At 35.7% G+C, this 19,185-nt stretch overlaps 1 protein-coding gene across 22 annotated transcripts in view; it reads left to right on the top strand.

Moving 5' to 3' along the window:
• The window catches only part of FGF14 (fibroblast growth factor 14), a 691,640-nt gene that overhangs the window by 571,371 nt on the left and 101,084 nt on the right, over positions 1 to 19,185 (top strand). The window contains exon 4 of one of the 22 annotated variants that reach the window (NM_001321937.2): positions 3,151 to 3,351. The exons of the other annotated variants lie outside the window; for them this stretch is intronic. Within the exon in view, the coding sequence (NP_001308866.1) occupies positions 3,151 to 3,207 (57 nt within the window). The 3' untranslated portion in view covers positions 3,208 to 3,351. Of the gene's footprint in view, positions 1 to 3,150; positions 3,352 to 19,185 lie in introns of those variants that run through there. 22 annotated transcript variants of the gene reach the window in all.

The following is a 19,185-nucleotide window of genomic DNA, read 5'->3' as shown; positions in this document are numbered from 1 at the left end:
ACATGGCAAAAGAGATACAGCATATGTAATTAAATTAACGACCTTGAGATGAGATTAGCCTGAATTATGCAGGTGGACCAGATATAATCACAAGATTACTTAAAAGTAGAAGAGAGAAGCAGAAGAGGATCGGAGTGATGAAATGGTATTTGGCTGCCATTTCTGGCTTTAGAGATGAAGAGAGGAGCCACAAGCCAAGGAATGCAGGCAGCCTCTAGAGCTGGAAAGGTGAAAAGGTAGATTCTCTCCCTAGAGCCACCAAAATGGAACATAAGTCTGCCAACACCTTGATTTTAGCCAGTGAGACCCTTGATAGACTTCTCATCTGCAAAACTGTAAGATGAAATTGTGTTGCTTTAGGCCCCTAAGCTTATGTTACAATGCTAACAGGAGTTAATATAGGAAAAATTTGAAAATTTAGAAATTTCCTAAAAATTAGGAAAATGAGTCACAGAGAGAGAAAGTGACTTACTTAGGATCAAAGGGCTAGAAGGTGGTAGAAGCAGAGTTCAAATACACGAAATTCGCCTCTTGAGGTAATGTTCTCAACCTCACGTTAATTTGCATCTCAGCCCATGTACAACCGGTAACTAAATTTATTTCCTGAATTTAGTCCTTCTTGTCTCATACTGGAAACATTTGCTGCAGCTGTAAAATTCCAGCCTGCCAGGGACCTGTACTTCCCAGGGCACTTGGCAAATGATAGAACATCTGGTGCTGCTGACATAAACTCTGTGCTTTTCCTTCTTTCTATCCTTCATCACAACAATTTCTCTATTATCACTGCCTCCTCTCCCAGGCCCAGGATAACTGTAAGAGCCTCTTCCAAGATGATGATGATGACGTGGAGAAAAAAATCAAATGGTTGCTACTAGACTTCTCTAGAGCTACAAGTATGCTTTCCCAGGTTTCTGCTGCAGCCACTGTTTCATTTAAAGCACTGCAACTCTATTCAGTAGGCAGGGATGGTTCCTGTTACATACATTTTACATGCAAGATAACTAATACTTCAGGAGATTCAGTCGCCTGCCTAAGGTCTCCCAGGGAGTAAGTGGTGGGAATAATGGCCATCCCTATTCTCACCCAGTGCCTGTGCCACAATGAAAAGGACAAAGGTTTTGAAGCCTATGATTCTAAGTCATAATACCCAGAAACATCACTTAAAAATTGTGAGCCTCATTTTCAGAACCTGAAAAATGGAGGTGAAGAGCCCACCTCATATATTTGCTATGAGGACTAAACAGAATAGTGGGCTGAAAAGTTTGCCTCACTGTGAAAATTACTGGAATGCTAATAGAGTTTTGAAATCTTAACCCCTAGTGAATCAAGAGTCTACTGTGAGTCCCTGATGGGGTCATTCAACCAAGGCAGTTATTTCTGAAATTCTTCCAACTCTGGCAGATCCTGGTATTTACTTTAGCCCTGGGTCATCAGTTTTCCTAATGAACCACATTTTTTTTTTATGATGACGATGCTGGAAATGGGTTTTAAATAGGGTAAATTCTTATTTGTTCTCAATACCTCCGGAATAGCTGAAGAGTGAACACTTTAAAGACTGATTGGCAATGCTGACTGGCTAGTGTATTCTTAGGTGGTACAAAAGCAGTATAATTCACTACTTTTTAACCACTATTAAAACTCCTGTTTTCAGGCTTTCAATGTTTGTGATTTATACAATTTTTATTCTCTTATTATGGTTGCTTCTTCTTTGTAAATTAAACTCAGGAGAAACCTGTAATAACACATTATGATACTGCACAGAACTGATTTCACACAGATTCAAAGCTAATATTACCCTGCTCTTTGACATCTGCATCTTTAAAGGTGCTTCTTCCACAGGGATGTCTAATAACCAGAATAGCTGTGAGCTAGCTGGTTTCTTTCCCAACTTTATGTATGCTTTCTGTAAAGACTTTTGGATGAGAATAATATTATTCCTTGACTTTGCTTTTTCTTTATTCCTGGATGTCAGTGCTTACCTGCAATTAGATCTATCTCCCAGCCCAGGGATAAATAGCAAAAACTTGAATTTGGAAACACCAGAAACACAGCAGTTACAGACCCCGAGGGGCAGAAACCACAAATGAATTTCCCTGACCTTTACTTTGTTTGCTATCAGCAGTCTCTAACACCTAGTATGATATTGGTAATGAGTTTCTAGTGAGAAGACAGGAAAGGTGTGAGGGAACTACGGTGGAACTAGTTCTCTTTGCCTTCCATTCCTGAGTACATATATAAAAATAAATGCAACCACAGCACATCAGTAGACTTTTAAAAATACATGTCCCTTCTTTTTTAAAGCAAGAGATATTTTTATCTCAACCCAGCATGGATAATCGGAATAAAATTAGAGCATGTATGGAATTGAATTAACCTGTGGATTAAACTCATCCATTTGGGAGATCATGGTTATTACTGATTTAATCTAAACATCAGTGCTAGCCGTGTGCATATGTGGAACTCAGTGCTGTATGAATGCGAAGAATACAGGATGCCTTTTCAGTCTTCAATTTGGAAACTTCATCATGATAACACTGATTATCAGGTAAACTCAAACAGTACAAGACATGCTTTCTCTCATCTTGCAAAAAAAAAAAAAAGTCTTTTATTTTTAAAGTATTTGAAATAGTTCTATCAATTGTTTGACAATTAATGATTATCATTTGGTCATAGAAACAGTTACCAGGGACGAGTATGTTCATTTTAAGTGACTTGGAGGCAGGATCCAGTGTGCATATTCAATTCTCGATGAGCAGTCTTACAGAAATGATTTTCCTGCACTTTGCTTGACTTAGTCATGTAGACAAAACTTATTGGCATTTTGGACATATTGGCGTCTGCAGATTGACTTGTAATAGGTAGTTCAACTATTGCATTACAAGAACTGCAAATCATCTATTCGTGGCTGTTGTTCTTTTTAAAAGAGTCAGAACAATATCTGTATGTGATATATGTGTGTGTGTATGCATATTTAAGATATATATGTGTGTTTTATTTGTAATGTATAAATTATTTATTTGAATGACTTGGGAGATTAAAGTAGTAGATTTCATAATAATTCAGACATGATTTTGAAATTTATATCCTGACATGCCTAAAGTGAGCATACCAGTATACCACACTTTTTTCTTTCTTTTTTTTTTTTTTTAGAAATTAGCCACATTTGATTTGAAGACGATTTGCTTAAATTCACCTCTAATGATTTAGGTTAATGACTCTGAGTACTTGAAGATGTCTTATGGTAATAAAGATCTATGTTGGCATGATTCAATTAATGAAACTAAAGTGAAACTCTGTGCTTTGGTTTTACTTAAGTTAGCAGTAATTATTAATGTAATGTTTCATAATTGTGGTTTCCATGAATAGTCTGAATCTCATAGACAATCTGGGTTATAAAAAAAGCCTAGGTTAAAAAATGTTGTTTTCATTGTCAAATATTTCTTTATAATAAACCACAAAAATAATTGAAGTAATGAATTTTAGCACATACTTTCACAGGTATTTTATATATATCTTATGAATAGCCTTACTCTTTCTTGAAGTAAATAAGTATAAAAAGCATTTATAAAGAAATGTATAAAAAATAAATCTTAGATGGTTTTAAATAAGGATGATACACTATACTTTAAAATACAAATATAAAAACTCACATTTATTTTGGAATACCAAACAACTGGAACAGTTGGAGGTTGATATAACATTTTATTATCCTTACACTACTTAACAAGTTAATATTTGGCAATATACTACCTCTGGTAACTATTTTGTCAATAACACCAAGCTATGTGCATTGTAAATATAAAGAAGGTTATTTACACCAAGCTATCTGCATTTTAAATGTAAAGGTTATTTTCTAGTGCTATACAAAATCCATTTTAAAATTATGACATCTACTGTCTAAACATTAACTCTCTAAAAGTTTGCATTTAAAAATGAAATTTCTATGTATGATTATATTATGTATTAACAAAAATAGAAATTTCTTTCTCTTCTAGCTGGAAGCTGTCATGTTCTTAAGAATGTAAATTACCATAAAAGTGTATCCTTTTATTTCCTACAAAGTAAGATTTACTGTTTTAATAAATGTTCACAAGATTATGTTACCTCTGTACCTATAGTGTCTTTATCTAGTAGTTATTGCTGTGACTACCGAGGCAATTGGTTATTTCATAAGCTAAATATTTTGAAGTCCTACATGTCAGAAAAGCCACAGTGAGCACTACTCTGCATTGCTCAATTCAATTCTCAATACATTAGAATTATACATATTGTAAAAATATTTGCAGACGTCTGTTAAATAAAAATTCCATACTTAATTTTTAAATGTAAGCTAAATTTAGAGTAATTTAAAATTTTTAGTGATATCAATTATCCAGCTCATTTATCTGGCATCAAATTATGTACACCATTTTAGGTACAACTACTAATTAATAGATTTTACTATATAAGAATATAAGACATTTCTATTTATTTTAATTAGAAACAAATCTAAGATGGTGCTGTGTACTTTCCATTCCACATACTACATTTTTACGAAAAGCAAATTGAGAGCTTTGGGATATGGGAAGTTTGAGGTGATGAATTCTCTGAAGTCAATATTAATTGACCAATACAATTTGAGATTTAACTGGGATAGCTATTTCATTGGTTATTTGTGTCTGATCGGTCTACTCAAAATTTGATTAATGTCAATGTGGGTATTTAGTGATAGGTTGAGACAAGTGAATCAAATTATCCTCAGACTCATAAATTTCTGTAGAATGTGCCTCAGGATAAAGCTTTATTGCTAGGTGTTTCTGTGTATCGGGGACGGGGGGAGGTTAGTGAAATGGTATTTAAATATGGAAACATTGAGAGAATGGTAGAAAAAAGACTAAAAGATGAATATATTTATGGCTGCATGTTTTAACGGTGAGAAAGAAAATTCTCGTTTTTGAAATGCATCATTTCTATTCTACTTCCCTTCCAAAGGCAATAGAGGCTTAAAATGATAGATAAAAGTTACACAGATATGCATTTGTATATAAACTGAATTATAATTTGGTAAACAGGATGTGTCTTACAAATATATGATAAAAACATTGCATAACAGATTGACATGGTCTTATAAACCAATGTTAGAGGACTCCTTGTATTATCTTTTAGGGATATATGTGATTTGATTCTTATTTTCAAAAACTTTATATCAGGAAATATCAAATTCAACCCCCTTACAATCCTCATGGGATACTTCTAATGTTATTTATGTCTTGGGTGGAACTGTCTCAAGTTAAGTGCATGACCACCTTACAAATAGCTTGAGACACTTGAATCTCAATGTATTTTAATAGCCCCTGCCCCATCTACTTTAGGTTTTGTAAATAATGGATAAATATTTATTTAGATTTTATTTTTTATTTGATACATAATGCATTCTAATGATATTTACACCTCAAAATCTGATTCAGTATGCATGCTTTATATCTGAGTGGACTTTTCTGTAACGCTAACTATAGTGATGAGTATTATACCATACTATCTGGTAAGATAGGAGGTATCACAGTCTATTCTAGATTTCTTAATAATCGGCAAAGATTGAAAATGTAGAGATAAAATTAATGGTATTTTCTTATAGCCCTCCTATTTCAAGAATAGCACTTTAGTAAAAGTTACAGACTCAGGATTGTGTTGAAATCCATGAGTAATAGGAAGAAACAAACCATTTCTTCTCTTAGTATACTCTCAAGAATCTTTACTTCTGATGCCAGATGTGATTTTCTTCACACACTTCAACTCTCCATTGGATACAAACGGGAGTCCTATGATTCAATTCAATTCAGACACTATCTGCCTGGAGTTAGTGTCAGATCTCACAGGTTAAGGGTTCAGTCCCACAAGACTCCCTCCCACTTTAGATGCTAATTGGAAGTCCTGGCCTCTGGAACTGCTGACCGACCAGCTGTAAATTGTGGCTTCCCACCTCTTCCTCAGGTTCCATCAGTTGCTAGAGTGGTTTACAGAACTCAGGGAAATGCTTTACTACCAATGGCCGATTTATTACAAAGGACATATGAAAGGATACAAATGAAAGCCAAATGAAGAGATACATAAGGTGAGGTTCAGAAGGCATCCAAGTGCAGGAGCTTCTGTCCCTGTGGAGCTGGGGCAGCTACCCTCCTGGCAAGGGGATGTATTTAGCAACCCGGAAGCTCTCCAAACCTTGTCCTTTTAAGTTTTCATGGAGGCTTCATTTAGTAGGCATGATTGATTAAAATCATTGGTGATCAACTTAACCTTCAGCCCCTCTCCTCAGTTGGAGGTTAGGAATGAGGCCGAAAGCTGGAATCCTCAAATCACGTGGTCGGTTCCTCTGGCAACCAGCTCCCATCCTAAGACTATTCAGGAGGTTTCAGCCATCAGTCATCTCAAATGCACATAAAAAGACATTATTTTGTAGATTTCAAGGGTTTTAGGAGCTGTGTGCCAGGAAGCCTGGACTAAGACCAAATATTTTTTAATCAAAAATCATATCTCAATTCTTCATTTTAGTTTTAATACCAAATATTTATTTACCTTAGATGAAAATGGCATAGTAATTTAAAAAATCAAACAAAAATAGAGACATCATCTCAAGAAAGGAGAGAAAACGAAGAAGTAATCAATGCAGAGTCTATGGCTGAGCAAGCTGGTGAAAAAACTTACAGAAGAAGTGTGATTAACAAGCACAGAGAACCCCAAGAATGGTAAGCGTGCACGCGCGCACACACACAAAGTAAATATAAGCCCATCATATTCAAACGGTTGAAAACCAAGCAAATAACAATGTCTAAAGGCAACCAAAAAATTGCAAGGAATGAACAATAAAATTTAAGCTGACCTTCTAGTAGAAAGTATGAATCCTGAAGAAAAAAAGAAAGTAATCATTAAAGTGTTAAAAAAAAGAAGTCAGTCTATAATTCTATAACAAGCAAAAGCATCCCTCACAATTTAATTTTAAGTACTTTGGACAAATAATATCTGAGTGAATTCTTCACTAGCAACTCACTACAAGGTATACTATTAGGAAATTGTTCAAAATAAAATAAATTCATCATCAAATGTAAGCATATAACAGAACATAGAATTATGTAGAATACCAGATATTTTAAATGTGTGCATAAATATTATAATTGATTATTAAGAAAAATAACAGTAACAATGCCATATAGGATTTTTAATATATTTCTGAAAATTATTTATACTAAATATAGATACTATTTTATATATATAAAAGATATATGTACATATAATATGTATCTTTATAGATACTATACATAGTATATCTTGTATAAGATATCTTTATAAATATATAATGATAGGCTGGGTGCAGTGGCTCACGCCTGTAATCCCAGCAGTTTGGGAGGCCGAGGCAGGTGGATCACCTCAGGTCGGGAGTTCGAGACCAGCCTGACCAACATGGAGAAACCCCGTCTCTACTAAAAATACAAAGTTAGCTGGGCATAGTGGTGCATGCCTGTAATCCCAGCTACTGGGGAGGCTGAGGCAGGAGAATCGCTTGAACCTGGGAGGCGGTGGTTGTGGTGAGCCGAGATCGCGCCATTGCACTCCAGCCTGGGCAACAAGAGCAAAACTCCATCTCAAAACAAACAAATATATAAAGATATATGTGTATATATGAATATATACAAAATATATATTATATATACAAAACATGTATTTATAATATATATAAAATATACTATTTTTTGTATGTATATACATATACAGAGAGAGAGAGAGTAGAATAATAGCACGAAGAACAGCTCCTTTGAAAACAATGTCAATTCCTCAATTAAACATAGAATTGCCATATGACCCAGCAATTCAACTCCTAGACTTTTACCCAAAGAAATGCAAACATAAATCCACACAAATACTTGTATTCAAACGTTTATAGCAGCTTTACTCATAATAGCCAAAAGGTAAAAACAACACAAATATCCATGAAAGGATGAATGTATACACAAAATTAGCATATTCATACAATGGAATATCATCTAGCCATAAAAAGGAATGAAATTTTGGCATATGCTACATTATACTAAGTGAAATAATCCTGCACAGAAACCCAAATATCATATGTTGTCACACATGTGTGGGAGCTTAAAAAAAAATCTAATGTGGGTGGAAAGTAGAATGATGGTTACCAGTGGCTGGGAAAGATAGTTGTGGACAGAAGGATGAAGAGAGATTAGTTAATAGATACAAAAATGTAGTTAAGTAGTGGGATTTAGACCTAGTTTTCAGTATCACAATATGGTGACTATACTTAAAATAATTTATTGTATACTTTAAAATAACTAGAAGAGTGGATTTGAAATGTTCCCAACACAAAGAAATGATGAATGTTTGAGGTCATGAATATTCCAATTGGCCCTGATTTGATCGTTACACAATGCATGCTCATATCAAAATATCATATGTACTCCATAAATATGTACAAACATGCCATAGTCATGAATTGGAAGACTCAATACTGTTAAGATGTTATATCTCTTCAAATTAATCTAAAGATTTATTAGGATCCATGTCAGAATCCCAGCAGGTTTTTTTTTTTTTTGGTAGAAATTTACAAGCTGATTTTAAAATTTATATGGAAATGTCAATGTTATTGAAGAAACAATTTGAAGTACTCACACTAACAGATCTCAAGATTTACTAAGAGCCAATGTCACAATAAGACAGTTTGTGCTTTTGGTACAAGTATAGGAAAATTTAATATTGGAATAGACTAGTATATTTTCCTGAATTATGGTAAAGTCTCCACTGCAATTCAGTGGGTGTGGAATGGCCTTTTCCATAAAAAGGTGCTTAATCAATAGCATATCTATTTCAGAAAGAAGGGAGTGGGAGCCATAATCCCTACCACCTATTATATGTACATACAGATTTGAAGTAGGAACTTAAATGCAAAAAGTAAGGCAAAGAAAAGGTTTCTAAAAGACAACACAAATGACTATCTCAATGATCAGAGAGTAGACACAGTTTTCCTACAGTATGTTAAAAGCACTATTCACTTAAAAAAATAAGTGATCAACTGAACTTTCTTAAAATTCAGAACTGTTCCTTACAAGACAGCATTATGAGAGTGAAAAGATGATATCTGCAGTTCTTATATCTGACAAAGAACTCATGCCCAGAATATTTAAAGTATTCTTATGAAACAAGAAACAAGACTGACAAATTACTTAAAAATGGGCAAATAAATTGAAACAGCACTTCACAAAAGAAGATACACAGATAGCCAAGAAATTTATGAAAAGGTGCTCAGCATCATTACTCATTAAAATACCACAAACTGATACCATTAGACTCCCACCAGAATTGCTAAAATTAACATGGCTGAGAATACTGAATGCTGGTAGTGTTGTAGAACAGAAAGAACTCTCATATACGGCTATTGGCATGTCAGTTGCTATAACCATTTGGGAAAACATTTTGGCAAAATCTACTAACGTTAAACATATTTACACATTCAAACATAGCATGTCCACTCCTGGGTATATAGTCAAGAGAGACAAATGTTTCTACTAAAAGTTCATGTACAAATAATCTTAATAACAGCATTATGAATAATGGCCCCCAAACCGGAACAAATGAAATTTCCATCAGTAGTAGAATGGATAAATAAATTACAACATATTCATAACACAGAATACTACACAGCAGTGAAAGTAACACACTATTGATACACACAAGAACTCAGATGGATCTCACAGACATAAAAAGGAGAAAAAGAAACCAGACACAAAAGAATAAATGCTGCACGATCAATATGTGTGAAATTTTTAAAAAGAGCAAAATTTGGGCCGGGCGCAGTGGCTCACGCCTGTAATCCCAGCACTTTGGGAGGCCGAGGCGGGTGGATCACGAGGTCAGGAGATCGAGAACATCCTGGCTGACACGGTGAAACCCTGTCTCTACTAAAAATACAAAAAATTAGCCCGGCGTGGTAGCGGGCGCCTGTACTCCCAGCTACTTGGGAGGCTGAGGCAGGAGAATGGCGTGAATCCCGGGGGGCGGAGCCTGCAGTGAGCCGAGATCATGCCACTGCACTCCAGCCTGGGCGACAGCGAGACTCTGTCTCAAAAAAAAAAAAAGCAAAATCTAATCTTCTATGATAGAAGTCAGAATAGTAGTTACCTCTCGGGGGAGACTGGACTAAAAAGAAGCACAAGTGTATCTCCAGTGCTAAAAATGTTCTATTTATTGATCTGGTATCTGTGTGTGTGGTGTGTGTGTGTGTGTTGTGTGTGTGTGTGTGTGTGTGTGTGTGGTGTGTGGTGTGTGTGTGTACTGTAGCTGTAGCTATAAGCTTAATACTTGGGCAGTTTAATATGTGTAAGTTATACTTCACTAAAGCAGAAAAAAGGGGGTATAATCATAGCCTAAGAAAGCACTTTCAAAGTAGCTTTTCACAATTCCCCTTGCATAGCCATAGATACTATCTACATAAATGAATATATATGTAATTGTATTTTGATAAGCTTTTATATGAGAAACATGATATTGCTTTAATTCAAATTAACTTTCCTTCTTAAATGTTAATTATGACTTTGCTGCACACGTTCAACCCAGAAACACAACCTGAATGTAAAGGCTAGTCTTCATCTTGGATATGTTCATTTTAGTCTGATTTCACAATTTTAATTTTGTTATCAGCCAACGTTTATTTTATTTTAATCTGTTTTCCATGATTCTTAATTGCAAAATTATTAAAATTATATAGGACTAATCTGTTCACTATTGGTGATATGCATAAAGAAATCTTGCTTTAAGTAGCATATCTGCTGAAAAACTGTTTTTTTTTCTTTATACAATCTCATTACAGAACACAGCATCATTTATTGCCATAATATGTTTTGTCAAACATCAGAAACATTTGGTTCATTGATATATTGCTGCCACTGTTTCTCTGACATTTTATATCCTTTGGGGCCAATGAGCAAGTCCCATAGGCTTGTCCCTTGATAACTTTATATCGGTGTAATTAATTCTCATCTTAAATCTTTTTACCTGCTGTCAGCCAAGAAATAGCTAGGAAAGCTGATTTTCCAAAAGCTTGTGGATCTTAGATGAGAAAAATGATGAGTATAATGTTGAGGCTCATGTACCATCCTTTTTTCTAATTACACAGCCTGTTCTCTGAAATATCTTTCCGTCGCATCCATCAGGGATGCCCTCAACATCAGAGGGAGAAGTGCATGGCTGTGCAAAAGTGAGGATTTAAAGTCCCAAGACAGAAGACACCAGGACATGTTTTCTCTCTTATCATAAGACATGTATTTGATTTATCATGTATCTTCAAAACTATTCTAAAAATCCATATTATAATAACTTTGGGAATGAATGAGTATCATTGCTAGAAAATAGGAGATACCTTCTTGTCTGATGCTGGAAATAAAACTAAGCTGACGATTGCTGATGCAGTTATTTTGAAGTAACTTGAAAGATTCAATTTCACATCCTCAAATTTTAAGTACAAAATTACGCCATATAATTCATTTTTATTTACTTGTAATTTAAGTTTACTTTTACATCACTGATAGGTAGAATATAATGGAAGATAGCTATCCCCTTACTAAAGTGCCCATTTCTCTCCTATTCACATTGAGTCTGTGAACCCAATTTTGGGGCAAGATTCCCCACTGCTAACCGGGTTATCACAGGATCTCTGGATTAATTCATGCCACATTCTGGGACTTTCAGTTGAGTATATTTTATTTTTCATAAGAGAAATAACTGTCTTATGAAGAAAATAATCTTGGCTGTTTTTCTCTCCTTTCCCTTCTTTTCTTGCTGCCCTTCTTTAGATGATTTAATTTGTCACAAATTAATTTTTAAGACCTCAGTTAATTTAAGTGTTCTGAGGTATTAGTGACTTCTCTAAGCTCCCTGAGCTTTAGTTTACTCTACTGTAAATTTGGGATAAACAATCCCTACCTTGTAAGCTTGTTACAATGATTGACTGGGTACAAAGCACTGGGTATACAGTAAATGCTCAATAAGTGGCTGCTGTCAGTTTTGCCTTTTTAAATTTGTAACTGCTCAAGAGGACCCAGATTGTAACCTGGGGGGTAAGCTTCACAATAAGGGAACAGAAGAAATAATGAAAGGGGTAATTTTTGACCAGGAGTAATGGATGAGTAATGCATAGATGAACGAATGTTGGGAAAAATAGGAAAACTGGAAATCCTATTACTAAAATCATTTTAGGTGGGCTTAGCTCTGCATAGGGATTATTGCCATTTTAAAGGTTCACGTTCTGCTTCCTTTGGTGAAATAGACCTTTGTTTATCTTAAGTTAGTTAAGTTGTGTTACTCTCTGAAAGCTTATAAACCATTTTGGTATCATTAGAAAGATAATTTATTGGGAAACATTACTGGCAGGTTGTAATTCTGCTTAAGATACCTATTAATATCTATTAATAGAGTTCTCCGAACCATCCAAATGCTAAAGCATATAGTTGTATTACCCCCCAAAACCACAAGAATTTCTAATTTATGTTATGGTTGTGCAGGTAATCCCCATTGGTTTCAGTCTGGCTTCAGTTGACTATAGCACATATATACCTATTTTTCAATGGTCTTTCACAATTATAAGAAAGCTGGAGAATTAGCAGAAGCTAGGAGGGAGGATGCTACCCAAAATATCCTACATGGCACAGGGAGGACCTGTTTTGGCAGCATCCAAGCTCAAGTCCTTTGGAAGGGCCAAAACTGATAGCAAAATGTATAGTATGGTTGATAATGATTTCTTTATCAGAATTTCTGAGTTTGAGTTTGGTCTAGAAATATTCCCACCTAAAGAAGTTTCAAGAAAATAACAAGAGAAGCAAAAATGAATCTTTCACTCCTGACAGTATGACACAGAATATTCTTAGTGGATTCAAGCTTCACTGAGCTTCTGAAGGTTTCACGTGTCTGCAGGTATTTCTCCCTCTGTTAGAACATCTCCAAGTCATGGTTTGTGTCTTAGTCACCTTGACCTTCCAAGAGTCTTGCATACAGTTTCAGATGTATAGTAAGCACTTAGATGCATCTTGACTGACTGAATAACTGAGAGAGTGAAGAAAAATGAGATGGCATACAATTTGTTTAGATTGCTTCTGTTGTACACAATCGTACGTGGTAACTAATATTTTTACAATCTCTATTTTTCTCTTGTTTTCATCATCAGAACCATACTTGACAATCCTCTATGAGACAAAAGGGTAGAAATGTTTCTCAGACTGTTACTAATGCTAGGAAAATTTCATTCATTTTCTCTGTTTTGTATAAACTCATGCAGCAGCCAGATCCTAGTGGCACCCTGAGTGCTGTTGAGGTCCGGAGAAGAAAGGCAGTGTCACTTAGCAGAGCGCCTTCACCCAGAACACCAGAGGCTGAATGTAACCTCTTTATTTCTCCAACTTTTCACCAGTTAAAGGGAAAAAGTGAATTAAAGTGAAAAATAAAAGATTAGTTGAAGTACCTTTTCAAAGACTATATTGCAAAACCAAGTAATAGCATTAGAGATGATGAAATTGTGTACCTGCAGGTATATTGGACAGAAAGGAAAAAATGCAATTTGACTGTGCTTTGCTTTTCTGAATAATCTGCCACCTTTTTTTAAATTTGAAGATAAGTCTCAAAAAAGTAATCAGTGTTTACATTTTAGAGCAAATTTTGTATTTAAGGTTTATCCAGGGTTTTATTTTATGCTGTTTCAGGTATTTAAAGATTCTTTGTTAATTAATTGTAAGACAAACTTCACATGTTTGTATTAAAGAGAAAAAAAAAGGAAAAAGAGGGAATCATTTCTTAAGCAATGATTATATAAAATAAAGAAGATGTAGCCTGAGCTTTGCTAGTATTCTGATGCTCACTGAGAAACCAGGCCCTGTGATCCTGGGAGATGATAACAGTAGATTCACTTATGTACCTTTTTGGAAATTACTTAAGTTCTCAGAACAATCCAACAAGTGTGCTCTGTTAGTCCTTTCACAAAATTATTTAAAGAGGAGAGGAAGAGGCAGGTGAGGTGTGGCCTGAAAAGTTTCTTTTGAAAGAAGAAAAAATTATTTTACTTAGCTTTCAAAACCTGCCTGAAATGAATAAAAAATTAATCAAAATTGAATTTTTTAAACTTGGGCTTAGCAAAGTAACAAGTATGCTTAACATTACAATAGAGAAAATTTCCCACTGGTAACAGTGATAATCCTTCTGCTGTAGAAATAAAGTGATAATTATTTTAAAATTTACTTTCATATGGTTTTATTTTCTGATAAAAATAAATATTATGAATAATATTTTAGATATCTCCTTCAGTTAACCTAGAATTTTATAATCAGATACCTATATGATAGAATTAAACTTATGCATGAGGGCATAAGAGCTTTAATAAAGATTTAGAATAGCATATTTTTTATTAAAATATGCAAAAGTCATGATAAGATGAGCTGAACTTTTTGTATCCAGTCCAAGTAAATTACTGCTTAAGATGTATAATTTTTTCAGATCTCTGTAGCTGTAGGGCTTTTCATATAATTTTGTTTTATTAAATCACAGATCAAAACAGTGACCCAGGTAATTATATTTCAGGGAATAAGTTGCTATTTTCTTATTTGTTAGCCAATTGTATAATTTCACTTTTAGGTGAATTTTTAATCCTTCTCTTTCACCATGTTGGCGGGGGAGGGAGAGCAAGAAGTTCCAAAAGTCAGAGAGATAAACATTAAATAATACATTTAACCCTGATATCTCCCTTTAGATTTCGGGTAAGCCAAATTTTTTTTTTTTTTTTGAGACGGAGTCTCTCTCTGTTCCCCAGGTTGGAGTGCAGTGGCGCGATCTCGGCTCACTGCAAGCTCCGCCTCCCAGGTTCATGCCATTCTGCTGCCTCAGCCTCCCAAGTAGCTGGGACTACAGGCGCCCGCCAACACGCCCGGCTAATTTTTTGTATTTTTAGTAGAAACGGGGTTTCACCGTGTTAGCCAAGATGGTCTCGATCTCCTGACCTCGTGATCCGCCCGTCTCGGCCTCCCAAAGTGCTAGGATACAGGCGTGAGCCACCGCGCCCGGCCAAGCCAACTTTTTAATAGCCTTCACAATGATGCCAAAAATGATCAAAGTTTTAATTTGACTGTTAATTCAGATGAAATTCCCCTTGTCTCTAGCTAAGAGGGCTTATTCCTTCTCTTGCTTATACCCATCACCCACCTGTCAGCACTACACTCCTCAGTTTCTTCCTCATATCATTCTTGACTTTTGCCTAATCAGGCACTCAGAACCACCGAGTTTCTTCTTGATAAAGTGCTTAGGAGAAATCTACATGGGGTGGGGGGGTATTATCTCAATGGGCTACACCATCCTCTTCCAGCTGCAACTAGTTAGCACCTTGGGTGAGCTAAGGAGGAGATCCCTTTTAAGTCATTGAAGGGAGTCACCACTAGTGCTGGTGACTGTGATAAGATACGATGAAGCCCTCACTTAGCTTCATTTATATTGCCTTTTGCCAAAGTAACTCCAATCCGCCCTTCTCCCTTCTCTTGTTTTCAGTGCTTCTTAAAATATAAGGTTTAGGGCAGCCTGAAGTACCTGGTAGCTGCAGCTTCATGAAAGAATTCCAGGCAGGCATCAGTGACCTGTTGGAGGGTCTCTGTGATTAGCCCTTTGGAGGTGCCATATTGCCCAGGTGATAAGCATTCTTTAAAGACCCAATACTTGACCACTCTGAGTAAGCCTTTCATCTTAACATTACCTCTTTCATGCCTTTCCTCCTCTGCCTGTCATTTGTTTCCCAGGCTTAATCACTCACTCCACCCTCCACTTCACTCCTCCCACACCAGTCCAGTTATGGTAATTTACCAAAAACATGGATGCTTACTGTAGACTCCCATCTTTTCTTTCTTTCCACCAGCTCAGATATCAGTATCCAGTTCTAGTAGGAACGTCATTCTTCCTCTAACCCTCTTGTGGAATTGCAGAACAACATTCTTTCTTCCACTTGATAGCATGAGGCTCCCTCTGCGCATGCATAGATACCCACCTTGTTGGTACACATGTTGCCAGAATGACCATCAGGGGTACTAATAAGTCTCTTTGAGTCTTTTATTGTTATTGTTTGGTTTTATTTTATTTACAGGTTACTTGTAAATCTGACTGCCAATTAATACTTTTCAAAACTATCGTGGAAATAGAAAGACTTATATGAAAATGTTTATGGCTCTATTATTCATAGTAAGCCCAACACTGGAAACAACCCAAATAGCCATCACTTGATGAATGGATAAATAAAATGTGGCATATCTGTAGAATAAAATGCTTACTCACTGATCCCTGTAGGTTTACCTCAAAAACATTATGCTGGGTGAAAGAAGCCAAGCATGAAACACTAAATATTATATGATTCCATTTATATGAAGTTTCCACAAAAGACACAATTACAGACTCAGAAACCATGTCAGCAGTCACTTGGGGGTAGGGATGAAAGTGAGGATTGGCTACAAAGAGGCAAAAGGGAATTTTTAAGAATGATGAAAGTGTTCTAAAACTGAATTGTGGTTATGATTGCATGATTGTCTAACTTTATTAAAACTCATTGAATTTTACCCTTAAAAGGTAAATTTTATGGCGTAAAATTAGAAAGCTGTTAAATATTGTGAAGATACATTTTTAAGGTCACATAACTGCTTTTGCATAATTTTATTTCACATGTTTTTCAGTTACATTCTCTTTCTTCCTACAGTCTTTCACCCCCATGCCAACATTTTTTTTCAGCTCCAGTGTTCTTTGGACAAGGTTTCTTAAACCTGAATGTGCACGTGAATCACCTGGGGATCTAGTTAAAATGGGATTCTGATTCAGTAGTTGTGGGATGGGAACTGAGATTCTGCATTTCTAACCAACTCTCAGGTGATGCAGATGCTTCTGTTCTGGAAACCATGCTTTTTGTAGCAAATATTTAGTTGTCTGTCTACTTGCTGAGCCTGTAAGAATAACTTGATTTCCCCTCTAAATAAGTGGAAACATCCATAACTTCATCCAACAGCTTACAACATGGAAATAAACTGTTTAATGAATGAATTCTTTAGTTATGTCAATACTAGGTCCTTTGCCCTTTAAAATGTTTGTTGCTGCTTTCTACCACTTTCAGTGGTCATTTACATTAAGCCTGATGATTGTTTTGGTTCCTCGAATCCCCTGTCAAAGGTATGCTGTTATTATGGTTTTAGGAACAAGTATCTCTGCGAACAGAGTGTTCTGAAGAAGGAGTTTACCTACATTAACTTCCATTAGAGGTAATGCAATTCAAATACCTGATGCCTTTATTTTAATTTTAAATACATCTGTTTCTGGAACACTTTGTACTGGGCCAATTTGAAATACTATTTATTCCTGCTCATACACTGTTTGAGGTTCAAATAGCAAGGGCATTGTAAATGGTGACTGTCTGCATCTGTTTGTGCTACTATAACAAAATACCTGAGACTGGATAATAGATGAAGAACGGAAATTTACTTTTTGCCATTCTAGGGGCTGGGAAGTTCAAGATCAAGCCACTGGCATTTGGTGTCTGGTGAAGGCTTCTTGCTGCATCATCTAATGGTAGAGTGGGTCAAAAGTGCCAAACAGACAAACGCTGTGTTCTCACATGGCAGAAGAGTGGGGAGAGCCAACCCACCCGCTCAAGCCCTTTTACTAGAGCCCCATTTCTATCCATGAGGGCTCAGTCCTCAGTAACCTCCTCCTAAAGCCCCCACCTTTTAAAACTATCACATTGGTCATTAAGTTTCAACATGGGAACTTTGGAGGACACACTCAGACCATAGCAGTGAGTTGGAGAGAAGGCATGGCCTGGTGGAAAGGACACTCGTTTAAAATTCAGGAGATCTGGATGCAGGTAAGGGTTCTTTGGGTACCTCCATGTGCTACCATAAGGATGTCACCAACTCTCACCACCTGTACACAAGGAATGGTTTTGCCATGAACTTCACCTCTTTGGCAGTCTGCTTAAGTCTTTGACTTCAACATTTAAAGAAAGCATTTTGAAATGCACAAAAGTATAGGATTGCTAAGGAAAGCAATTATATTGAAAGAGAGTTTTAGCTGGGCATGGTGGCTCACGCCTCTAATCCCAGCACTTTGGGAGGCTGAGGCAGGTGGATCACCTGAGGTCAGGAGTTCGAGACCACCCTGGCCAACATGGTGAAACCCCATCTCTACCAAAAATGCAAAAAGTAGCTGGGTGTGGTGGCATGTGCCTGTAATCCCAGCTACTCAGGAGGCTGAGGCAGGAGAATTGCTTGAACCAGGCTGGGAGGCAGAGGTTGCAGTGGGCTGAGATAGCGCCATTGCACTCCAACCTTGGTGACAACAGCAAAACTCCGTAAAAAAAAAAAAAAAAAAAAAAAAAAAAATATATATATATATATATATATATATATATATATATATATATAGTTTTAAAAATATAAAAAAATAGTGATATATGTGCTTTTTGAAATTAACACATTAAATAAAATCTAGTGGCCAATCTAAGTGGTGATGATCATAAATATTTTGAGATCTCTGCAACAACTAAATATAAAAGATCTATAAAGTTTATGGATAACAAAATGTTAGGTTTTGACAATATCACTGTCATTTGCTGCTTATGTCTATAGTTGAAAGAAATGCTGAGGTTTAATATGATATTAGAGAACATGAAGATGTATTATTTACCACCTTAGTTTGCATTTCCTCTGTACCCTATTCATTCACAACTTGGGAGTCTATGGTCCTCAGAACATCTGCACCAAAAATTCTCTAAAGTCTAAAATTTATCAATTAACTGATGATTCGAGTAACAAAATTTCCAATCCTGTAATATCTTTAAATAATTTAGAATGCTATCACATAGCTTCCTGTGAATGACTCTAATGGGGAAGAATGACATCTTTTCATCTCTTTTTTAATAGATGAATGAACTTAGATATAATTTGAAGTGCTTAGCAGAAGTCTTCTAACTGTTCAGTGATAAATCTTTTGAAATCAGATATGACAGTTTCTGGGAGTCTTTTTCACATCATCCTTCAATTTAGGGAATTAAATAATAAAATTTACTTGTTCATCTTTCACTGTGTAATTTAAGCTTTACAAAATTACTTGTTAGAGACCTTCCAACTTTATACATACAAGATAAAC

The sequence above is a fragment of the Homo sapiens genome, chromosome 13, assembly GCF_000001405.40.
Source record: "Homo sapiens chromosome 13, GRCh38.p14 Primary Assembly".
NCBI classification, from domain to species: domain Eukaryota; kingdom Metazoa; phylum Chordata; class Mammalia; order Primates; family Hominidae; genus Homo; species Homo sapiens.
This window is presented reverse-complemented; position numbering and strand designations above follow the sequence as displayed.